This window comes from Homo sapiens, chromosome 18 (assembly GCF_000001405.40).
Source record: "Homo sapiens chromosome 18, GRCh38.p14 Primary Assembly".
Lineage (NCBI taxonomy): Eukaryota > Metazoa > Chordata > Mammalia > Primates > Hominidae > Homo > Homo sapiens.
Window position 1 is genome coordinate 12,827,621 of NC_000018.10, and position 25,655 is coordinate 12,853,275.

Below are 25,655 nucleotides of genomic sequence, written 5' to 3' on the forward strand. Positions count from 1 at the left end.
GTGACCCTCCTGCCTCAGCCTCCCAAAGTGCTGGGATTATAGGTGTAAGCCCTCCAACCTGGCCAGAAAAAAAAAAATTTTTTTTAAGTAAAATAGAAATAAAGAGATAAACAGGATTAAAGAGAACGTGACAAATAAAAAAGGTAGGCAAAGAAAATCCAACATACGTATAATAGGAAGACCCAAAGAAGAACATTAAAGCAAGCAAGGGAGCAGAACAAATACTAAGGACTGTAATTCAACAAATATTTCTTTAACAAAAAGTATTTAAAAAATTTTAAAAAGTACTTGAAGTCAAACTCTCAAGAACACATCATGTACCTGTAAAAACTGACCCAGAATGGCCAATTACTAAGACATATTTTTGGTAAAACTAATAATATCTGAAGAAAAAGAAAAAAAGAATTCTTTGGGTAGTGCAGATAAAAAGAACAAGAGACTTATAAAGGAAATAAGATGTCCATTAGACTTTGGTGGAATACCAGAAGGAAATGGAAAAAAAAAGTTGTTCAAAGAATAGCACATGAGCCAAGGATTTTATATCCCGCCAAACTGACTTTCAGATATTAAGACAGCAGATGAACCATCACTGACATGTAAAAAAATCAGACTATAATGCTCACAAGTCCCTCCTTAGGAGCCACTAGAGAATGAGCTTTAGTCAGAATGACTGGAGAGACATCAGCAAAGACTGTTGATGAATATTAAATAATGCTTGCTTGTAGAACTAAGAGTCTACAAGAGATGTAAGGGAGAGACTACAGTTTGTAAAGTACAACTCAGAAACACCAGGAAGAGAATGAAAAAAATATTAAAAATTGTAAACCATTTTCAGTAATTATTTTGGTAGCAGATGATATCATGATTATGGTTATATATTGTATATGATATGGGAAGAAGGAAATGAGTCATTACAAGATAGTTTACATCTCTCATATCTTTGAGAACCAGGATTCTTGGTATGAAAAAGGAAATAGCAGATGTAAGATGGAAGGGGCTAAGCAACACTTATAGTTCCAAATTTGAACTGGGAATATCATTATGAACTCTTGAAGTATGTTATCTTAACATATGCATATTGTTCCTTAGCTTTTGTCCACTGAAAAGCCCTAAAAACAATGACCAGTCCAGTTGCAATATATATCCTTATTTTTGCTGTGATCTTGAAATACTGCTGCCCATTAAAAGAAACCAAAACTCCTTAGAGAAATGGCTGGTTCCAGGTCTGGGCAGCAAGAGTTTGAGATGAGCCTGAGATGCAGTCATTACAGACAGCAAAAAAAATTTTTTTTTTTTGAGACAGGGTCTCGCTCTGTCCCCAGGCTGGAGTGCAGTGGCACGACCATAGCTAACTGTAGCCTTGACTTCCTGGCCTCAAGTGATCCTCCTGCCTCAGTACCCCAGGTAGCTGGGACTACAGGCATGCGCCACCACACCCAGCTAATTTTTGTATTTTTTGTAGAGACAGAGTTTCACCATGTTGCCCAGGCTGGTCTCAAACTCCTGGGCTCAAGCGATCCACCCAACTCAGCTCCCCAAAGTGCTGAGATTACAGGTGTGAGCCACTGCACCCAGCCAAGGAAACTATTAAAGGTTTGTTAAAAAGGACTCAGAGCTGGGTGAGGTGGCTCACGCCTGTAATCCCAGCACTTTGGGAGGCCGAGGTGGGCGTATCACTTGAGGTCAGGAACTTGAGACCAGCCTGGCCAACATGGTAAAACCATCTCTACAAAAACTAGCTGGGCATGGTGGTGGGTGCTTGTAATCCCAGTTGCTCGGGAGGCTGAGACGGGAGAATCTCTTGAACCCGGGAAGTGGAGGCTGCAGTGAGCTGAAATCATGCCACTGCACTCCAGCCTGGGCAACAGGCGAGACTCTGTCTCCAAAAAAAAAAAAAAAAAAAGAGGACTCAGGACCCAACCTAAAGACATTGCTGCTAGCCAATGACAGGGTAATTTGATCAAAAATAAGGAAAATAACTGCAAAGGAGTAAAATTAATCCAGTATGTCCAAACCCATAATAATTCAACCTCTCCTGCCACTCTCCACCAGAAAAACTCCTAATTGGTCATCTGTTGAGAACAGATGACCTCAATAGGGAATCAACTTTTTTTTGGAAAACTGCTTTTAAGAGAAGTAATGACAGAATTGGATTATCATCATTTGTAACCCATAATGAATTAAGAAGCTGAACACTGACCAATAATGGCTATTAATGAAATAAAAAGAACAATAATCAGACATTATGGGTCTCTTGATGAATAACACATTACCCACCACCTCTGAAGTAATCTTCCCCAAAATAATTAAACCTGACTCTTGTTAACCATCTAGGTTCAACCACCATAAACATGATTTCTAAATTCTGGTGGCAGTGTTATCTTATTAATACAGTAATTATACTCCAAAATGAGAGAAATAAAATTTGCAAATCATGTAGTCTACAATGGTGCTCAAACTGACAATGTCATAATCCTTGATTTTTTTTTTTTTCTTTTTTGAGATGGAGTCTCACTCTACCGCCCAGGCTGCAGTGCAGTGGGTTTTGAGATGGAGTCTCATTCTATCATCCAGGTTGAGGTGCAGTGGCACAATCTCGGCTCACTGCAACCTCCACCTCCTAGGTTCAAGCGGTTCTCCTGCCTCAGCCTCCCAAGTAGCTAGCATTACACCTGGCTAATTTTGTATTTTTAGTAGAGACGGGGTTTCACCATGTTGGCCAGGCTGGTCTCAAACTCCTGACCTCAAGTGATCTGCCTGCCTCGGCCTCCCAAAGTGCTGGGATTACAGGTTTGAGGCACCGTGCCTGGCCTAATCCTTAATTTTTAAATGATATTGAAGATCAGGAAAAACCCCTGTAAATGACTATGCTGATACTGCTGGAAATTCTGGCATGTCATTGCCACATCTAATTAGAAGTGGATTAGGAAATTTTCATCATCATTAAAAACCAGCAATTATGAAATGTAGAATAAAGTAAGAAATCTGAAGTAGAACAGTACAAGATCTTAAAGCTGGAAGAGGACTTATTGACAATAGGTCAATAAGGATTCCTAGGGATTCCAAAGATCTATATGTCACTGCTAGTCCATATTTATTCCATTGTATTTCTATCTTGGAGATGAAAGGTCTGCAATTGTTATAAAAATACTTAAGAAAGGAAAAGGATACATGAGTTTTTCCGGACAGAAACACTTTGACCGCTAGCCTTTAGCAATTAAAGGCCAAAACTAAGGAATGAATATTGGCCCCAAAATGAAAATCTTTATATGCTAATGATCACATACAGTATACTAAGTTGTAAATATTAAATATTACTCACCGATTCTTTCTCCACAATGCGGTTCAGCATGACAACTGCTTTGGTCTTCTGCTGCCAAACCATAAGCCAGAAATGGCAGCATGTGTTAGGAAGTGGACCCTGTGAAGAGAGAGGAGAGAGAGCAGATGAGGGAAGCAGACAGAAAGAGCAAGGCTCCAGGAAGGCCTTGTTAAGTCTGCTCCTGGGATGTTACAAGACAGACAGCGGACGGGCTTATAAGAAGTAAACCAAGACTTCCAATCTACCTGATTTCAAAAACAGGTCTGTGTTAGTTAGGATTTTTGGTTGTAAATGATCAAAACTGACTTTTATTTTCTCAGGCAAAAAAGGAATTGTGTAAGATATCAAGTGGCTTTCAGAGTTGAGGACTAGAGAGACAAACTTGGGTAGGAACCAAGGGTTAAGACACAAGCAAGGTCCTGCCCCAAAGAAAGTCAACCTGGGATGCTGCTCTTGATACCGTCACTACTATCTCCTTGCTTTTGCTGGCACTGCCATATGAAGGTGGCTATAGTATTCATGTACAATCTATAGGCAAATCAGAGACAAAATCACGAGTAGGAGTATCTGACTGATCATGTTCTAGCTGCAAAGAAGGTAGACCAAGGAAATTTCTGTCCTCTTCATCTTCTACAGCCAAGAGGATGTGCCTCCCACACATCATAGAAAATCCATGAGAAAAAAGTCTGTACCATCACTGGCCAGCCAACCAACTCAAGTCAACTACAAAAAGATTTCTAGAAAAAGTAGGAATCATTAAAGTACCTGAACCACAATGAAACTGTTAATCTACAAATGCACAGTATGTACGGCCTCAATGGAAGAGTATTGGGCAGAGTTAAAAAGGGGCAACAGTCCATGTTACAACAATGCCATGGGGATAAAAGCAAAATATTTCATGTATTTCCAATTGCTTTCACATTTTAATGATAGCATAGGGCAAAAGGAAGATCTAATAAGAGATGAAAAGCCTATGTACAAATTTTAACGAGTTTTAAATGAGAAGGTTAAAATGAGATGTAGTTTTGCTACACCTAAAATAACTATGAACATGCATTCAACTCACATGGAATGTAGCAGAGTGGTATGAGTTAGGGGCAGAGTCAGGAGTGGGGGCTAGGGCTGCCCAGAGCTTCAGACCCACATACAACAAGGGGGTTAAAGTGGTTCTAGACTAAAAGCATTTTTTATTTTTTGAGATGGTGTCTCTGTCACCCGGGCTAGAGTGCAGTGTCACGATCTCAGCTCACTGCAACCTCCACTTCCCAGGTTCAAGAGATTCTCCTGCCTAAGCCTCCCACGGAGCTGGAATTATAGGCACCCGCCACCACACCTGGCTAAATTTTGGATTTTTAGTAGAGACAGGGTTTCACCATGTTGGCCAGGTTGGTCTCGAACTCCTGACCTCAAGTGATCCACCTGCCTCAGCCTCCCAAAGTGCTGGGATTACAGGTATCAGCCATGGTGCCCAGCTGACTAAAAGCATCTTTAGGCCTGGTGTACTCCTTGGTATGTAGCAGATACTCAATAAATATTACTTAAATGAATAAACCAAGGTTAAGTTGTAAAAATGCTAGAAGTCTACTGAGGATCCTGACAAACTACAACCTAATATTTGAGAGTGGCGTTTTCCTCACTCAACTTATTTTTCTATTACTTGATCTACTTCTAAAACAAAACACAGTCTAAAGGTAAAAACAGCAATGAGGAAATCCCCAGTAAAATGAATACCTTTTTCTTTAATTAGGAAAAAAAAAATGGATGTAGCAATTTGCCAGTGAGGTTACTCCTTAGTGTATACACACAATCACAACCCATGCCATTCCACTGGTGATTCTAAAGACTAAATAATAAACAGGAACACAGCTGGAGTCTTGCTCTGTTGCCCAGGCTGGAGTGCAATGGCACGACCTCGGCTCACTGCAACCTCTGCCTCCTGGATTCAAGCAATTCTCCCTCCCTCAGCCTCCTGAGTAGTTGGGATTACAGGCGTGCACCACCATGCCAGGCTGATTTTTGTATTTTTAGTAGAGACGGGGTTTTACCATGTTGGCCAGGCTGGTCTCAAACTCCTGACCTCAGGTGATCTGCCTGCCTCAGCCTCCCCAAGTGCTGGGATTACAGGCGTTGAGCCACTACGCCCAGCCATAGGTTTTTAAATCAGAGGAACAGAGATTCACATCTCAGCTCTTCCATTTACCAGCAATGCTACCAATGTTCTTCATCTGCAAAACAGACATAATACACCAAGGAGGTGACTTTTAAAAAAATACTAATTCATAAAACTCAGAAGAAAAAGATGACTGAAGTAACAATCTACAAAGGACAATCAGAAGAGCTGGGTTACTGCATCTCTAGTTTTCTGTATCCTCCATTCCAAACAACCTGCTAGATGCAAGGCCAAGAGCTAGACTGAGATGCAGTCTTGGCTCTTTAAGAGCTTGCAAAGGTAGAAGGAGAAGTACTTGTATGACTAATGGACACAGTTAAGTAGTACAAGAGTATGGGCAAATTAAACCATCAGGTCTTAGGGAGCAGGAAAGGCTGGGAAGGAAACTACAGAAGAGCCTCGAAAAAGGTCCTAATACAGAGAGGGAATGCAGAAGAATGGGAGGGAGTTAGGGTCCACTCCAGGCCCTCCAAGCATAAGGCAAAGTGCATGAAAGTTTAGGGCATATTTGGGAAAAGACAAATAGATCAGTGAGGTAGAAGTGGAGGGATGTAGTTGGTGACTACACCACTAGAGTGACAGGGATGGTGCCAAGGGGAGACCTTAAAAAGCTGCTGCAACAGGACAGGTGTAATTGAAGAGAGCTCTGAAAAAAGCGAGGGGCAATAGAAGATCAGAAAGAACTTGGCAGACAATGAGGACAGTCTCAATCCCAATGAGAAAAATAGGAAGGCAGCTACCTTGGTAAAAAAGACAGAGAACATGCAGACTTTGAAATCCAGTAAAAATATCCAATAGAGACCTGAAAAACATAGAGAGGAATTCAGGAGAGAAGAAAAAGCCAGACACAGGCTTCTGAGTTCTCGCATTAAATGGGCAGGGCTCCTTCAGGACACACACAGCGACAAGAAGTTCAAAAACAATTACTAGGAGGCTGGGCACGGTGGCTCACCCCTGTAATCCCAGCACTTTGGGAGGCCAAGACAGGTGGATCATCTGAGGCCAGGAGTTTGAGACCAGCCTGAGCAACATGGTGAAACCTTGTCTCTACTAAAAATACAGAAATTAGCTGGGAGTGGTGGTGAGCACCTGTAATCCCAGCTACTTGGGAGGCTGAAGCACGAGAATCACTTGAACCCGGGAGGAGGAGGTTGTAGTGAGCTGAGATTGCATCACTGCACTCCAGGCTGGGCAACAGAGTGAGACTCCATCTCAAAAAAAAAAAAAAAGAAAGTTATTTAATGTCTCTGGATCTCCTTAGATTCCTCGTGTATAAAATAAAGGTAATACTATTTACCACAGAGGGTTGTCCTAAGGTTTAAATTATACAAAGCATGTAAAAACACCATTACAAAATTTTTAACTGTTATTATTTCCTATTATAATGTAAAATTCATAAAATTCATAATAGGGTTTTTATGAAAGTCTGTTTTATTTAAACAATGCCTGCCACAGAGTAGGTCTCAGTAAGTCTTTGCTGGGTGAGTGAATACCCAGTGAAATGCTGGCACCAAGATTCCAGCACAGGTACCATGACAGTAGTCTACCCTATCTTAGGTTACAAAGGTTGAAAACCATGGTCTTAAAGGGCTGTAGTGCAGACTGGAGGAGAAAAAAAAAAGCTAATTTAGAATCTTAAGACCTATGTTTTTAAGAACTAAGAAGAGAACAAAAAACCAGTAAGTGATAATGGAGAAGAACAGTACAGAGGGAGAAAGGGTTGTGATAAGGGATCTAGGGTGGTAATTCTTCTCTATTTTTTAATGTAATTAGTTGTCCCTCAATATACACAAGGGACTGGCTCCAGGACCCAACCTGCCCCCCACCCACTGCAGTATACCAAAATCCACACATGTCCAAGCCCCACTGGTGGCCCTGTAGAACCTGCAGATACAAAGAGTCAGCCCTCTGTATGCATGGATTTCACATCCCATGAATACCGTATTTCCGACCCGTTTTTGGTTGAAAAAAATTTGCCTGTAAGTGGACTAGTACAGTTCAACCCTGGATGGTTCAAGGGTCAACTATAGGTATTTCAAACAGAAAATAAAATTTTTAACTCTAAATAGTAGTTTAAAATACAAATGCACATAAAAAAAACTTCCAATATTACAGAAAGGAATAAAATGGAAAATTAAAGTCTCTATTCCCAAGCTCCACAAATTATTACTAATGGTATATGTATGATTAACTTATTTAACCAGTCCCTTACAGATTGCTTGAGTCTGATGCGTTAAAATAAGACTGCAATGAACATGATCACATATGTCTTTTTTTTTTTTTTGGACAGTTTTGCTCTTTCGCTCAGGCTGGAGTGCAGTGGCACTATCTTGCCTCACTGCCACCTCCACCTCCCGGGTTCAAGCGATTCTCCTGCCTCAGACTCCTGGGTAGCTGGGATTATAGGTACCCGCCACCATGCCCAGCTAATTTTTGTATTTTTAGTAGAGATGGGGTTTCACCGTGTTGGCCAGGCTGGTCTCAAACTCCTGATCTCAGGTGATCCATCTGCCTCAGCCTCCCAAAGTGCTGGGATTACAGGTGTGAGCCTCCGCGCCTGGCCGATCACATATATCTTTATGTCTGACTGTATTTCTCTAAGTAGACTTTCTTGGTCGGTCAGAGTATTTGAACACTGAGTATTATACACTTTGAAATCTCTCCTTTTCTGACAGGTGAAAGGCCCATTCCCTGGTTACTGAATGGAGCATTTCTTCATGTGCAAAGTGTCCACCTTTGATTCTTTGAACTAGGAGTTTATGTCCTTTGCCAGTTTTTTCCATGGGCTGTTTTTTTTCTTTTTGACTTGCAGGAGCTGTACTACCTCAAGTAAAAAATGCATTTTAGTTTCCTGTGAATTGACGTAGTATAATAGCTCATAGTTACATTAATCTGCATATCTTTTTACTTATCAAATATTTTTCTCTTTCAAATAAGTCATTCTGATTTAAGTTATGTTTTCAAAAATCTCAAATATTATGGTATATCTTTTGAATATTTAAAAATCTTTAGGGGGAAAGACAGCCCTGTTGATAATCAAGTCTTTATTACTTGATGAATAAAGAGTAGCTGTGGATACACAAAAATCTCTCCTACTATCTCAGAATGGAAGGAAGAATCATGCTTGCACACAGGTGTGGCTGATGCGCTCAGAGGCAACTGGGCAGAAGGCCACAGGGAGCACAAGGCCTTGTGGCTGGGCCTCTGGAGCACCTGGTCTCAGCACCCGCTCAGGTCCTTGAAGACGACCAGACACCATCCAGGGCTTGGTGTACTCTCTGAAGATATATGCGAGGCAGGGGGAGCTACAGAAGAGCTGTCCAGGGCCTCTGGTTTTGCCACAGGGTATGGGAAGAGAAAAGAAGACACTAAGAAGCATAAGCAGCACTCTGTGTCAGATATAATGTAAGGAACACAATCTGCCAAAGAACTGGCCTAAGCCATTTCCTAAGAATTTTCCTTCACAGAACGTGTAATATCAAAAATAACTTGCCTTTTATCTTAAATACTCAAAGCTTCAAAACCTTATAATGTCCATAATTCATTACATCGTCAGAAAAAAACTGAAATACCATTTCATTTCCAAAAGAAGTCAAGATATACTTTTACCTATGATTTAAAGCAGAACAAGCACAAACACATCATTTTCAGACATTTGCGTGGTATCGTATTACTTGCCTGTGTTAAGATGTAACTCCTTTGTGCCTCTTCTATGTCAACTAAACTGGCATTAATATAATCATTCTCAGCATTTTGCAGTTTAACACGACTGTGATCATCTGAAAATAGAGAATGATAAACCACAACTGTCATTTCAAAATTACTGTTTTTATCTTCATATTAATATTCTAGGTATTTATAAAAAGACAGAAGAAATAAGAAAAATGAATTAGCATCATAATAGAGTTGAGACAAATCCTAAACTATTCTCTACTTTTTTTGTAAGGAGTATAAAATGCAATCTTGTTTATTACTATAGTGCTGGAAAGGAAGCACTTCTGTTTGTAGCACATTAGCCATTGTGACTTGAAAAATCGACCAGGAGTAAACATAGTTAAATGAATAAAGTACTTACCTTCCTAAAAGTAAAAGGATCATTCAGATTCTTGGTACCTAAGAATTGATTGGTCTACCTACAAAACGATAACTGGTCTCAAATAGATGAGACTAGATTTCCGAGGTTACTATATTTCAACCTCTTCATTTCTCAACAGATAAGAATTCCACTATATTTAAATAAATTTTAGCACTGAACTGTGTTTAGGTTAAATGCTGAAAATATTTAAAGACAGTTGGAATATTCCAACTGTATTCTTTAAAAGACCACTGAAGATACTTCACTACTTAGACTCTGTTAACAGTTTAGAGATATTTCTAGTTTTTAAAAGTAAAAATCTCATAGATTGAGAATTTATGCTAATTTAAATATGTGAAATACAAAATGTGACCTTATACATTTAGATGGGAAAGCAAGAGAAGCATGACACCAGGAGAAAAAGCCCATGAATTAACTCAGAATCCTCAACACACAACTGCCGGATGCATATCACTGAATTATAAAACTAAAAACATGGTGTTTGATGTTTAACTCTAGAGAATGCATACTATTACAAGTTGTCCCTCTCAAAGAAATCCATACTAAATAGCCAGTCTCTCCTTACTTTTAAATGAAAAAACTGTTTATATTATCTCCATATGAAAGAAAATGTAAAATGGCTTTAGTTTCACACATCAATTTATCTGAGATGTTTCTGCTGGACTGAACCCAAGACCTCTGTAAATATTACATGTCATTTGCCAACAGGAAAAACTAAGATCTTGTTATAGTAAATCACATATACTAGTGTTCTCAGAAAGATGATGTCAACAAGCACTTTTTTTTAAAAATCACTTTTTTAAAAAACAGTTTAATCACCCTTTAACTGTTATATTATGTAAAATAGTAAAAAGGTCAGCAACTTAATTAAAATAAAGACCACATATCTCCTAGACAACATACCAAAAAAAGAAAGCCTGGTTTTAGAAAACTACATGATTTTAAAATTAAAGTTCCACTAAAATATCACACCAAAGGAATGTATTTCCTCATGTTGTAATCACAGAAAGAACACTAACCAAAGGCTACTCATATCTATTGCACAACTGAAAACAGCCATTTAGCTAACATGCGGTAGGAATCCATAAAACCCGGGAAGGTCCACCTCACAGGGTGCTGGGAATCTGGTTACCCCACATGGCACCACCCCACACCCTTGCCCAGCTATGCAGGAAGTAAACCTAGAGAAAGACCTTCAGCCAGAGTATTTGATACCTCACCCTCAGGACTCTGAACTAAAATTCACTGCTATTTTCCTTCTATCTGTAAAATATGCACGAGGTGTTACCTCAATGCTCTATAAGCACAGTAACCACACACCAGAAAAGCCCAGATCCAGTCCTGGGAGGCAGTAGGGAGGAGGGCACTACCTGCAGGGCACTGGGTCTGCAGGGCTCAGCCCCTGGCAGTGGCCTCGCTTCCTGTTTAACATTAATATACAGAGTCAACAAAAGCAAAGGAACGGTGAATTTTCTCAGGAAAATTTTTTTTTATTTTGTTATCAGATAATACTAAAAAAGAAAGGTAATCCTTGGGAAAACTCTATAGCTATTTAGAACTGACTACAAATGTTATTTGAGCCTGTATTTTCTTCTCAAGGCTGATTAAAAACAAAACTGAAATACCTACATCACTAGATATTATTTTAATTCTTCTGTTCTTTTAAGAAAAACACATACAAAGGAAAAATGAAAAACAATTTAAAAAGGAAGAAATATTAAAGCAAAAAGGAGAAATAAAACTTTAAAATAAATTTAAAATACATTAAAATTATAAAAACAAAAATTGAAAAAGATTAATATAAAATAAAAAGTATATATAACTTTTTGATTTCGAAGAGGCAGTAGAGAAAAAAATAAAACACATCACCTTAAAATAACTATTGCAAAAGATTGTGAATATACACATTTCAGGAAGTGAAACTATCAAAGCCTCTTTATGAGAAACTGTGACTTTATAATTTATACTCTTTAGTGATGATAACAAAGAAGGGCACTACCTCTTCTCCAATTAAGGATCACAACACACGGTTTCGAGTTTGTGAGAGCATATACACAGGTTCCCTTAACAACCTGAGTCACAGGTCTCTTTTCCCTGCCCAGATACTATCAGTCAGCCCCAAATCTGTAAACTAATCATTAAAAAACAAACTTTTGACTTCTGAATGAGAACACACAGAAAGGTACATCCTTTCTCCTCTTCCATAGGAACCTCTGACATGAGATTATCATAACAGCAGCATCCCATAACCTTTGGGCTGTATAAGTAAGCCCCAAAGCCCACTATACTTTACCATCCTTGTAAGTCTGGTTATCTCACCCTTTCCTCTTTTAAAGGATCCAGTAAAGGGAGAAAAATGAAGATAGTTCAAACTCTTTTGCATGGGATACCACAAAAGCAACCAAACCACACTTCACAGGAAATCTTATTTCTCAACCTCTACTAGCACTAGTAGCAGAACTATCAAGAACATACACTTTTTTTTCTACAGGCATCATCTGCCTTAATTCTTGTCACTGAGTAAATGAAGAAATGCAATACCCAAACAGAACTGTGGTTTATAACTTGGATTAAAATTAAGCCAATTTCTGACAAGGAGTCCCTTCACCTCCTACCCTCAAACAGCATGTTTTCTGAGAAACAGCTCCACCTCTCAAGAAATGACTAGTGCTAGCTGTGGCTGTGCTGACAATACAGATTAGTTTCCTCTTTCAATACTGTCATCATAAGCTTTAAAAAAAAAAAAACAACCCACAGCTTTCACCAAATATATCATTATTGTAAAGACATCTCCTTTTGGAAAGTTTTCCAGGTCAAACAGAAAGGAGAATTTGTATTCATTGTAACTGGTTACAATTCATCCTGAACAGGTTAAATCACAGCAAAGATCAAGCATCCTTAACTTACAAGTCAGGCAAGAAGATGACCAATTCTAATAGTACAGCGTGAACCAGTGACTTTTCCCCTTTAGATTTTCCCATTCTCAACTAAGGGTAATCAGTACGTTTTCAAACAGTGATGTCCAAGAACTCAAAGCATTTTCTAGATTTGTCAACTCTCTTCAATCCTGCAAGTAAAATAGTCGAACAACAAATATTATGCATTCTCTCTCATAAATCGAGCAATGAACCAAAAACAAAGCTGGCACTAAACACCAGGTCACCATATACTCCCCCATATTAATGGAGAATACAAACTTTAGTACACATAGAATATTAACATTTCAATTGTTTGCTCTGCAAAGAAAATTCTACTTGATGAAAGGTTTCCAATTGACCACAAAACCAACCAGAACCACTGTCTAGAACCATTTGGTGCCTACGACATGTCAGGTTTGTGTGACACTCGTCACTGGGTCACCTCTCTCAGTCCTCACAGCCCTATGAAGTGCATATGAATATGGATCACACCCATCGCACTGTCACTCAGGGAAGTCAAGTCATCACAAGTGTAACACACTAGAGCACAAAAATGAAACCTAGATTTGTGCAATTTAAGAGATTACCTATTTCCTGCATTCTGCATTCCATGTCTCCCTGATCCATCCAGTTGGTGCCTTTACCATCCTTTCCATACATCCTAAATTCTTGCTGACATCACCTTTTCACGTTGCTCTCCACTCAGGTGTGACTTCCAACTCCTCTCTCACATAAACCCCACTTCTGTGCCGATGCAGTCCATGACATATCTTCTCTAACTAGACGCTCTGATGGAATGCCTCCATGATGAACTGGTCTGTTCCCTGCATTGAATACTTTCAGCAATCATACACAATTTTTAGTCAACAAACATATTTTAACCTATAGGGATCTAAAGGTAAGACATTATTTGTTTGAAGCTTTTAAAAAGGAAAAAAGAAATTATATTAAGCCGTGACTCTGAGTACTGATACTTTATTGCATAAAATATTGTGGGAAGGAGCTTGAGTAGTTGCTACCTGAATAGGCCTAGTGAGATCAGCAGGAAGGGGAAATTCCAGCAGAGGGCACATCATAAAGAGGAATGAAAGGGAATGGTGTAGCGGCAGGACTGGCAGATTCAGAAAGGCTGGCGAGCTGGCTAGAGAGGGCTCCCCAGACACATTAAGGGCGGACCCTGAAGGGCACGTGGGCCGTGCTACAGGCACAGGCTCTGGACAGGGCCCCAGTGAAGTTCTTTAAAGGACTGGTATAAACACATTTGATTTTCATGAAAATAACTCTCAGCAGCATAGAAGATGGACTGAACCAAGAAGAAGGCAACTTCATACACCAATACACTGAAAGCGTAATCAAAAGGTGATGAGGCCTGAATCAAGTAGTGGCGGTGGGAATGTAAAGAGTATTTCCAAGGTAGCACCATCACAGCTTTGCTAATAAAGTATACATTGTTTAGGAAACATTTGGTAAGTTCAACCTTTTCCAAACAATAGTTTACTGTCCTTGAAATCATCAGCGTCTTTCAACCCATCATGATTTCAAGATCCTAAACTTGACAGGACAATGTCACTAATTAAATTCTGATTCCACAAATCTCCTAATTGAAAAAGTCCTCTTTAATCTGTCCCCAAGAGTCTGCAATGAAAAGAATACCTGAGAAATGTCTTTACAAAATAGGTAAAATTCATTAGTTTGGAAAACAGACATTTTTCCTCTTTGGTAGCTTGTATAAAATAAGACATACTAATCTTCACTTTAAAATAATCAGTAAGTATCTCACCATTTTTTTTTTTTTTTGAGATGGAGTTTCGCTCTTGTTGCCCAGGCTGGAGTGCAATGGTGCGATCTCAGTTCACCACAACCTCCACCTCCTGGGTTCAAGCAATTCTCCTGCCTCAGCCTCCTGAGTAGCTGGGATTACAGGCATGTGCCACCACGCCCAGCTAATTTTGTATTTTTAGCAGAGACGGGGTTTCTCCATGTTGGTCAGGCTGGTCTTGAACTCTCGACCTCAGGTGATCCACCTGCCTCGGCCTCCCAAAGTGTTGGGATTACAGGAGTGAGCCACGGCGCTCAGCAGTATTGCACCATTTTCTTTGAAACTCAGACTCTCCGCTTCTAGGAGAGTTAGAGCCTAAACAAATTGAAGGTGGAGGGACTTAGGGGAAAAGATTTAACTTTCATCACATCCAAAGGCCCATGAGACACCATGCAAACAATGCGGACCAAATATCTATATTGGTGATATAGCAATAAGCATAACTAAGTAAAGTATATGAGTAATAAATGCTAAGAAAAAAGAGTAACGGGACTCACAGCGCTGGGGAGAGGGGCAGGTTGCAATTCTAAACAGGGTGGTCAGGATGGGCCTTGTGGCTGACCACCCAGGTGGGTCACATGTAAGCACAGATGTGGAAGGGGTCAGTCTCACGGATATTTTAGTTAACAGTGTTCCAAGCACAGAGAACGGCGAATGACTTAAGGTGGTACATACCTAACATGTCTGAGGGACATGAAGAATGTGGCTGGAGCCACGGGGACAAAGCGGAGAGGAGCAGTCTGCAGTTTAGGTTCGGAGAGTCAAGAAATCCTGTACTGATTCATTTCTCCTAAATTTGACTGTCAGGGAAAAAGGACTGCTACTTCCATTTTCTCAGCGGGCCTACCTAGTAGAGTGTCATAACAATTTAAGTCAGCAAGTATTCAAACATTGTTTATATGATGAATTCCAGAAGATTTTCACATATTCAAATTCCTACACCTGCTAGAATTTTGTTAGAATGACAAATCACTATCAACCCATTCTGAACCATAAGCAGGAAATGAAATGACGTTAACTGACTTTCTTAAGCGTAAACTAATTCGGCAGAAAGGAAAAGCGCAGAAACCTTCAGGACTTCTTAGTACAGGTACCTGGAATTTTGCGACGCAGATGAAAAACATGGGTGAGGGGAGTTTGAGGGATCTAAAGATGTGGATTCTGATCTCTCTTTTGGCTCTACCAACCTACATGATTCCAGACGTAGTCATGATTTCCCAGAAAAGGGTGACTACTACTTGAGAAACACTATCAGCATCCCAGTCGCCGACAGTCCTATGATAAGGGGCACTCAGGGGTCTGTTTTCTTGTCTGTCAAAATCAGTGGCTCGAATGGACCAGTCCTTCTTGATTATTTTCACTGACAAACCCTCCTTAATACCCTAAGAGGGTATTAAAGTACAAAATTCCTTGGTAATTCCTATTTTACCTTAAACATTTAAAGGAATTTCAGAATTCTACTTGATCATGTATCTGTATTTTAATCTAGAAACAACCACACCCTCACCCCAATCCCGAGTACAGCTGACTGTCCTGGACTCCAGCACTCCCCCACTGCACGCTTCCACAGCTCCCTCCACCCAGCGTAAGTGCTCTAGGGCAGACCAGCCCACCCAAGGTGCTGTGGCTTTTAAGAGGGGCCTCTTAGGGCAAGATTCTGATCAGCTCCGCTGGTGGAGGGCAGCAGGAGCACCCAGGCACCCAGTAGCAGCCTTCTTGCCACAGTTAAGCTCTTTGCAGCCAGGGACGCTGTCAGACTCACCACAGAGCCCCACTCCTAGCAATGCGCTGTCCAGGGCCTAGTTCCAGAAGGCCATCAAACTCAGAAGCATGAAAAGACACTGCTACAATCCACAGACCTTATTTTGATTTCTCCAGTTCTACAGGCACTCATTTGTGTGTGCTCAGTTCTATGCCATTTTACCACAAACAAATTCACATGACCAAAACAACACATACCTATTCCATCAGCACAAAGGTTCTGTGTGCCCCTTGGCAGGCACACTCTTCCCCATTCCACCCCTAACCACCGATCTGCTCTCCCTCTCGAGAATTCTCATCATTTCAAGAATGTTATATAAATGGAATCATGTACTATGTCATCATTGGAAACTGGATTGTTTTCACCCAGCGTAAGTCCTCTGAGAGCTACCCATGTTGTTACGTCAAGTTTCTTCCTTTTTATTGCTGAGTAGTATTCTGTGTTATGAATATACCATAGTTAACCACTTACCCACTGAAGGACATGTGGGTTGTTTCGAATCTGGGGCTACTACAGATAAAGCTGCTGTGAATATTCATGCACACACTTTTGTGTGGACATTATGACTGCATTTCTCTGGGATAAATGCCCAGGAGTGCAAGTGCTGGGTCATATAAGCTAAGTATACGTTCAGCTTTTTAAGAAACTGCCAAACTATTTTCCAGAGTGGCTATACCAGTTTACATTCCCACCACCCATATATGAGATCCAGCTTCTCTGCATTTTTAGGGTATTGTGATCTCTTTACTTTAGCTGTTTTAGTAGGCGTCTAGTGACATCCCACCACCATGATTTTAATTTGCATTTTCCTAATGGCTAATGAAGTTTTTTATATGTTCATAGGCTTATCTGCCATCTGTGTCATATCTTTTGCCCATTTCCTAACTGGGGTTTTTGTTTCTTTTTACTGTTACATTTTGAGAGTTCTATATATAGTCCAGATCTAAGTTCTTTGTCAGATATGTGGTTTACATTTTCTCCAAGTCTGTACTCATCTTTTTGTCCTCTTAACAGGGTGTTTTGAGGAGCAGAAGTTTTTTATTTCGATTTAGTATAAATTATTGATATTTTAAATGAATTGTGCTCTAGGTGTCATAGCTAAGAACTCTTCATCTAGCCTTACATCCTGAATTTTCTCCCATTTTCTTATGAAAGCTTTTACATTATGATCCATCTATGATCTATCTTCAGTTAACTTTTGTGTAAGGTGTGAGATTTCATTTTAAATTGCTTTGCACCTTTGTCAAAAAATCAGTTCACCATATTTTTACAAGTCTATTTCTAGATTATGTTCCACTGACTTATGTATTTATCCCTCTGCCACTACCACACTGTTTTGATTACTGTGGTTATGCATTAAGTTTTAAAACTAGGTAGAGTGATTCTTCTAGTTTTTATTTTCCAAGATCATTTTAGCCATTTTATTTTAGTTCCTTTGCCTTTCCACATAAAAGAATAAGCTTGTTTTTATCTACAAAAAAACTTCCTGAAATTCTGACAGAAATTGTGTTAGATCTTTAGGAACAATTTGACACTATGAGTCACTATAGATCTATAGAACAATTTGGGGAGGACTGATTCACTATGCTAAGTCTTCCAATCCATGAACATGGTAGGCCTTTTTCATTTATTTAGGTCATCTTTTGATTTCTTTTATCCATGTGTTTGGTGCTTTCAACATACAGATCCTATATGTATTTTGTTAGATTTATTCCAACATATTCCATTTTCTTAGAGCAACTGTAAACAACAATGTGTTTTTAATCTTGGTTTCCACGTGTTTGTTGTTAATATACAGGAATACAATTGGCTTCTGTATGCTGACCTTGTATCCCACAACCTCGTTTAACTCACTTATTAGTTCTAGGACATTGTTGGGTAGATTCTTTGCAATCTTCTACATGTCATCTGCTAATAAGGTCATTTTTATTTCTTCCCTTCCAACCTGTATGCCTTTTATTTCCTTTTCTTGACTTCATGTACTGGCTAGGATTCAGTACCTCAAGTTTATATGTATTTTTAATTTGTATGTTTAAATAATTTTAAAACTTACAGAAAAATTCCAAGCACAAAGAATTTTCTTCCCAAGTCATGACAGCAAGTTGCAAACATACCTGATTATTCCATTTTTTTATCTTCTACAATGACATAATCCTACTTACTCATAGTATAGCCATCGAAATTATAAAATTAACAGTGATACTTTACTAACCCAGACACCATTCAAGTTCTACCAACTGTCCCAATAATGTCCTTTAAACAAAAGGATACAATCTGTTCTTTCACGGTATTTTTTAACCTTTTGAAACTGTAAGTCAGTTGTTTTATAGTGTTCCTCCATTTGAGTTGTCAGATATCTATTTCCCTATAGATGAGTTCAGTTTGTATATTTTTGGCATGTTCATCTCAGAAAGATGCTAAGTATTCACTGCATCTTATCGGGTGGTTCAGGATTCTGACATGGTATATCTCATGACTGGTCATGACCACATATTTAAGGCTGGTGTTGGCCAGACTTCTCCAGTGTAGAGGTACTATTCCTCTTCTTATATTTAATAAGTATTTTGTAAAGGGATACTTCAAGATTATGTAAATACCTTGTTCTTCACCAAATTTTCACCCACCAACTTTAGTATCCATTTCAATATTTATTAGTTGGCAACCTATACAAAGGTAGAACTTTCCCTATCCCTCATTTATGTATTCATTTGTTTCTTTACATCAGTATAGACACATTAATTCCTATTTTATTCAATAGGTTGTAACCATTATTTATTTTCATGCTCAGATTATCCCAGGTTTGGCCAGTGGACTCAGCTTGGCTTCTACATCCTTCTGATATGTCTTCATCATTTTTTGGGCATGTCTTTATGTTCTGTCACTACAAGACATTCCAGGCTATTCTTACACTTTCCCTGTCGCAGACGTGGAACCAGCCATTTCTCCAAAGCTCTATTCTCCTCCTAGTGGAGAATAAAATTTGGTATCAAAAGCTAAGCATGCCCAATGGCTCATCAGCTATCGCTGCTCTCAAGATTTCCCAGTGGACAGGGATAAGAAATATAGGTATATACACATACCTATGTTCATATTTATCTGTGTATCTATACTCACTGAAAACCATGCATTCATACCTGGATACAGCAATGCTAACCCAATATTACAGGCTTCTTTTTCAAGGACATTACCACCTTTACTCACATGCCTTCCACATGTGGGCCCAACCCCAAGTGCTTTATAGATTTAATTATTCAGGGACAGAGAAAGAGAAACTTAATGATATCTTTAATACTCTCTTTACTACCCTATGACAAAACTATGTACAAGATTTTTGTCAGTCCAAAAAAAAAAAAAGTTTCATCTGTTAAGGAATTCACAATGTAATAGGACAGAAAGGTGAATGCGGGAAATTGGTGAGAAAGAGATGAACAGGGGCAAGAAATGAAGCATACAAGAAATAGACCAAAGTAATCTAATGCAACCCTCTATAATTCATTCACAAATATTCTCTAGAAGATCTGACAGTGAGAAGATCCACCCTCTGCGTGAATACCTCCAATAACAAGTGTACTAGTTCAGAGGGTTCGTTTGTAGGTTTAAAACAGCTCTTAAGAGCTAATGCTAACCTGATATTCACCAGTGCTATTATTCGCTCATGAACCCTAGTTCTATATTTTGGGCTTAACACAGGATAAAGAACTCTTTTTTCCATGTAAAAGTTCAGGTATCTAAAGTCAGCTATCATGCTGCTCTGTTTAGGTTTTCTCTTTCCCTGTCTAATCAATGCTAGCTTCTTCTCTAAGAGTTCTAGTTCTTCTTCCTTGGAACCACTCCAGTGCATCAATAGCCCGCAGGAATAAATTATTAACATCATAAATAGCTTTGATTTGGCTTTGATTAAAATTAAAGATTTTTTTTTTTTTTTTTGAGAGGGAGTTTTTTTTCGCTCTTGTTGCCCAGGCTGGAATGCAATGGCGCAATCTCGGCTCACTGTCACCTCCACCTCCCAGGTTCAAACAATTCTCCTGCCTCAGCCTCCCAAGTAGCTGGGATTACAGATGCCAGCCACCACGCCCAACTAATTTTGTATTTTTAGTAGAGACGGGGTTTCACCATGTTGACCTCAGGTGATCCACCCACCTCTGCCTCCTAAAGTGCTGGGATTACAGGCATAAGCCACTGCACTAGGCCAAAACTGAATATTTAAAAAAAAAAAAAAAAAATTGAAGATAGAACTAAAGACCCTAACAGTGAGTGAGAAAATCTTTTAGTAAAAAAGCTGTCAACAACGGATTTTGAGAAGGTAAAGCACTACACTGACATCTGGTCTTTATTTTCAAACTTTAATGGGATAAGAAAAAATGTTAGCAAATATTTACATAATAGTTACCATAAAATTTAACTTAAATCTATACTTATTCGGATTATTATTATAGAACTAAGTTTTTATCTAAATCTGCTATTACTAAGAAAGATGACAAGCACTTTCTGGTAAGTTTAAAGGTTTCTTTTTAATGATTTGAAGGTCTATCATCTTATAATTCTAAGACTATCAAAATGTTTCTTAATAATTCTTTGACTTGTCTGCACATTTCTAGAGGGGTTATCTACGAAGCAATTCGTATCATCTATAGTGGTGATGGTTTTAAAATATGTCCACAATTCACTGATACTTCCTCCATCAAACTAATAAGAGTATTAAGTACCCTCTCCTTGAACATGCATGGCCTTAGTGAGTTACTTCTCAAACGGAATGTTGTGGAAGTTGTATGTGACTTCTAAGGCTAGGTCACAAAAGGCAATGAAGCTTCTGCCTTGCTCTCTAAGAATGCTCACTCTTGAAACTCAGTTGCCTTGTGATAAAGTCCAGGTCTCATAGAGATGCCTTGTGTAGGTGTTCCTGGTGACAGCCCAGTTGAGGTCACAGTCAACAAGAGTAAAGAAGTTGCTTCTTCAAGGTGACTCCAGCCCCAGCCCCCATTTGAAATGCAATTACACAAAAGACCTTGAGCAAGAATCACCTATGTGGGGTTAGTCAACCCCTAGATTTGTGAACATAATAAATGTCTCCTATTGTTTTAAGCCACTGTTTTGGGGTGGTTTGTTATATAGCAACAGATAAAACTTTTATACTTTTATTCCTCTTACTGAACCTTCCTGCTTTGGCTATGAAAGTTCTATAGTGGCCTCATAAACAGATTAAAAGACAGTTAATTTATTTCTTTCCAATCCTTATGGCTTTTATTTCTCATTCTTGCTTACTGTACTAACTAGGACCTAGAGTATAAGGTCAGGGAGACAGAAGTATAATGTTAAGTATAAGTGGTAAGAATGAACACACTTACCTTGTTCCCAATATTTTTTTAAAACAATGCTTTCATCATGTCATCATTATGAGTGATGTTGTTGCAGTTATCTCTTAGAAATCTTAGAAGTTCCCTTCTATTTCTAGCTTGCTATGTGTCATTTTTAATCCTCAGCAAGGACTTTAAATAATCTTTCCACACTTATTGAGATAATCATATGGCTCTTTCTCCTTTGTTACTGTGGTGAATTATAAAATAATCTAGGCCGGGTGCAGAAGCTCACGCCTGTAATCCCAGCACTTTGGGAGGCCGAGGCAGATGGATCACCTGAGGTCAGGAGCTCGAGACCAGCCTGACAAACATGGTGAAACCCCATCTCTACTGAAAATACAAAAATTAGCCAGACATGGCGGCTAACGCCTGTAATACAAACTACTTGGGAGGCTGAGGCAGGAGAATTGCTTGAACCCGGGAGGTGGAGGTTGCAGTGAGCCAAGATCGTGCCACCGCACTCCAGCCTAAGCAACAAGAGCGAAACCCTGTCTCAAAAAATAAATAAATAAAAAATAAAAAAGGTATTCTAATGTTAGCTACCCTTACATTCCTGAAATAAACTTAATGTGAACATAATGTATTATCTTTTTAATACATTGCTATATTCAGTTTGCTAATCCTTTGTTAGGATTTCTACATCTATATTCACTTGCATTATTATGAAACATACCGGTAAAACCAGCTGGCCCAGTGTTTTCTTTGTGGATTTTGTTTATTAATGTCTTTAAGTGGACTCTTCAGACTCTACTTCTGCTTGAGTCAGTTTTGGTAAATTATGTTTTTCTAGGAATCTGTTCCATTTTTTCTAAAAAATCATATTTACTGCCATAAAATTGTTGGCAGTATTCAATTCACGCTTTCTTTGTATACCTGTATTTATGTGCCCACTCTTTCTCCTGATATTGTTTATATGCACCTTCTTTCTTTCTTGTTTGATTGATCGTGCTCGATCTTGACAGAGTTGATCAGTCTTACCGAGGCTAACATTTAGTTTAGTTGGTCCCTTGTGCTGTAACTGTGATTTCTATTTCTGCTCCTTTGTTGTTGTTACTTCTTTCTGCTTTTTTTTTCTCATTCTCTTATTTTTACTCTAAATTAGGTTAGACAGCACATTAATTTTAACTTTCATCTTAAAATACTGGGCTAGGCACAGTGGCTCATGCCTGTAATCCTAGCACTTTGGAAGGCCGAGGCAGGCAGATCACTTAAGGTCAGGAGTTTGAGACCAGCCTGGCCAACACAGTGAAACTGTCTCTACTAAAAAACACAAAATTAGCCAGGCCTGGTGGCACGTGCCTGTACTCCCAGCTACTCGAGGGGCTGAGGCAGGAGAATTGCTTGAACTCGAGAGGCAGAGGCTGCAGTGAGCTGAGATCACACCCCTGCACTCCAGCCTAGGCAACAGAGCAAGACTCCATCTAAAAAATAATAAATAAAATATAATATAAATATTTAAGACAATATATTTTCATTGCAGTACTGTTTTAGCTCCTTTACACAAGTTTTGATAAGCAGTATTTTATATATTGTTTATTTTTAAGTTTCCATTATAATTTTGTCTTGACCCACGATTTAGAAATGTTAAAACTTCCAAATTTATGGAAATGTTTATCTTTTTATTAATAACCTATATTTTAATTGCATTAAGATAAAAAATTATGAGCTATAAGATAGGAATTTTTTTTTTTTGAGACAGAGTTTCGCTCTCGTTGCCCAGGCTGGAGTGCAGTGGCACAATCTTGGCTCACCGCAACCTCTGCCTCCCGGATTCAAGCAATTCTCCTGCCTCAGCCTCCTGAGTAGCTGAGATTACAGGCATGCACCACTATGCCTGGCTAATCTTTGTATTTTTAGTAGAGACGAGGTTTCTCCATGTTGGTCAGGCTGGTCTCAAACTCCCGACCTCAGGTGATCCACCCACCTAGGCCTCCCAAAGTGCTGGGATTACAGGCGTGAGCCACAGCGCCCAGCCAGGCATTCTTAAATTTTAAGATTTACTTGACAGCCTAGTCAATGGTCCATTTTTTACAAATAGACCATGTCAGTCCTAGAAAAATGTGCATTTTCTAATTGCTGGATATAGGGTTCTATGTATTTTTCTTCTTATATTAAGGTTAATAATATTATATAGGCCGGGCGCGGTGGCTCACGCCTGTAATCCCAGCACTTTGGGAGGCCGAGGCGGGTGGATCATGAGGTCAGGAGATCGAGACCATCCTGGCTAACAAGGTGAAACCCCGTCTCTACTAAAAATACAAAAAATTAGCCGGGCGCGGTGGCGGGCGCCTGTAGTCCCAGCTACTCGGGAGGCTGAGGCAGGAGAATGGCGTGAACCCGGGAGGCGGAGCTTGCAGTGAGCCGAGATTGCGCCACTGCAGTCCGCAGTCCGGCCTGGGCGACAGAGCGAGACTCCGTCTCAAAAAAAAAAAAAAAAAAAGAAAAAAGAATAATATTATATAAATCTATTTCTTTACAAATATCTTGTCTTATTAAGAAGCCCATGAACATGGATTTGTCAATTTCTCCCCAAAATTCTATTCATTTTTGCTTAATACATCTTGGGGCTACTTTATTAGCTGCATACAAATCTCAGAGCTGATACTGACATCTGCATTCAAAGTAGTTATGCCATTTGCTAAGATCATGCAGGGAGCGTGCCGAAAGCATAGAAGTTTTCCCTTCCTTCTTCCCCCTCTAGTAACTCATTTAAAAAGTATGTTTATTTGAGAATCTTTTTGTTTTGTAGAGCAACAAACCATGGACTATGTAACCTGACACTACCAGAATCATGAGTCTCTGTGTTAATTTCCTTTAAAATCTGACTGTTTCACATGGATGAACCTTGAAGACAGTATGTCAAATGAAATAAACCAGTCGCAGAAAGACAAATACTGCATGATTACACATATATTTAGTGTCTAAAGTAATCAAACTCATAGAAACAGAAAGCAGAATGCTGGCTGCCAGGGGCTGGGGGAAGAGGAAGATAGGGAGTTTTTCAATGGATTTAGAGTTTCAGTTATACAAGATGGAAAAGTTCCAGAAATCTATTGTACAACAATGTGCATACAGTTAACAATACTGTTAATATACACCTACAAGAAATTTATGGTATGGGTTTTTAACACACACACACACACACACACACACACACACACACACAGATTGTTTCATGGCCAGTGAAAAGACATGACAGTTGACTCAATTGCTGGCACTCCCTTTTAGACCAAATAGTAAACTGGGATTTCTACCTGTACTGCAAATAGGAAGATCTCAAAATTTGGTGGTAGTCTCTAATAGTATAAAGACGTTTCCCAAAGTAACCATTACAAGCTACTCTCTTTTCAAACAACGAAGTTCTTGTCCATCTCTTCTACAATGTCTCACAGTTAACTGAGACAACTGAGGCATCTCTAGGTTGTAGCAGATTATGGACCTCTTCAAATCCTTTCAATTTTCTTCCTTTTTTGAGACAAGGTCTCACATTGCTCAGGCTGGAGTGCAGTGGCACAATCACAGCTCACTGTAGTCTCAAATTCCTGGGCTCAAGCGATCCTCCCTCCTCGGCCTCCCAAAGCGTTGGGACTACAATCATGAGCTGCTGCACCCAGCCCAAATTCTTCCTAATTTAAAATATCCTTTTTCCTTTATGTTTCTCGTATTCAGAACTCCAAATGTAGTTTCCATATGTCAGTCTGAGGAGTGGTGCCATAGTGAGTGTAAAAGAATCATGTTAAGATTGTTTAAAAATAAACATTTCCAGACCGGCTGAATCCAAATCTAGAAAAGAAAGATCTGGGACTCTGAATTTTTAAAAAATTCTTTTTCCATTCCCCTTTATTTACCTAGTTCAGGCTACCATTCTTTTTCTTAAAAGCCATCCCTGCCTCCTTGGGCAGAGCCTCTTCTCAGCTCCATCAATGCACTGTCATATCTTACAATATCTGTAACATGCTTATGTGTTAATCTCCTCAAGTATACCATAAATTATTCGATACATAGCATAGTATCAAACATGTAGCTGGTTTTCAACAAATGTTTTCTGAACCAAATCAGCAACTGTCAAGTACTATGTATAGAAATGCATTTAAAAAATTTTTTAGAGACAGTCTTGCTCTGTCACCCAAGCTGGAGTGCACTGGTGCCATTGCAACTCACTGCAGCTTTGAATTAGTGGTCTCAAGTGATCCTCCTGCCCCAGCCTCCCA

The 25,655-nt window shown here is 39.2% G+C and overlaps 1 protein-coding gene across 11 annotated transcripts in view, besides 4 other annotated features; it reads right to left on the bottom strand.

The window, feature by feature from the left end:
• Window positions 1-25,655, bottom strand: part of PTPN2 (protein tyrosine phosphatase non-receptor type 2) — a 98,760-nt gene that overhangs the window by 42,143 nt on the left and 30,962 nt on the right. For 9 of the 11 annotated variants that reach the window (XM_024451228.2, NM_080423.3, NM_080422.3 and 6 more), the window contains 2 exons: window positions 9,171-9,271; window positions 3,323-3,421 (listed from right to left, as the gene is read on the bottom strand). In XM_024451228.2, coding sequence (XP_024306996.1) covers window positions 3,323-3,421; window positions 9,171-9,271 — 200 coding nt within the window. Of the gene's footprint in view, window positions 1-3,322; window positions 3,422-9,170; window positions 9,272-13,093; window positions 13,343-25,655 lie in introns of those variants that run through there. The other 2 variants (XM_047437697.1, NM_001308287.1) reach the window with 1 other exon arrangement.
• Window positions 12,092-12,151: an enhancer, noted in NCBI's record as "active region_13107". NCBI's record gives its function as "activates an Ori minimal core promoter by ATAC-STARR-seq in GM12878 lymphoblastoid cells {active_cell/tissue: GM12878}" and the evidence as "EXISTENCE:reporter gene assay evidence [ECO:0000049][PMID:35858748]".
• Window positions 12,272-12,321: an enhancer, noted in NCBI's record as "active region_13108". NCBI's record gives its function as "activates an Ori minimal core promoter by ATAC-STARR-seq in GM12878 lymphoblastoid cells {active_cell/tissue: GM12878}" and the evidence as "EXISTENCE:reporter gene assay evidence [ECO:0000049][PMID:35858748]".
• Window positions 12,362-12,411: an enhancer, noted in NCBI's record as "active region_13109". NCBI's record gives its function as "activates an Ori minimal core promoter by ATAC-STARR-seq in GM12878 lymphoblastoid cells {active_cell/tissue: GM12878}" and the evidence as "EXISTENCE:reporter gene assay evidence [ECO:0000049][PMID:35858748]".
• Window positions 15,483-15,991: an enhancer, noted in NCBI's record as "H3K27ac-H3K4me1 hESC enhancer chr18:12843102-12843610 (GRCh37/hg19 assembly coordinates)". NCBI's record gives its function as "activates a minimal SCP1, AML or CMV promoter by ChIP-STARR-seq in naive H9 embryonic stem cells {active_cell/tissue: H9 hESC(naive)}" and the evidence as "EXISTENCE:reporter gene assay evidence [ECO:0000049][PMID:30033119]".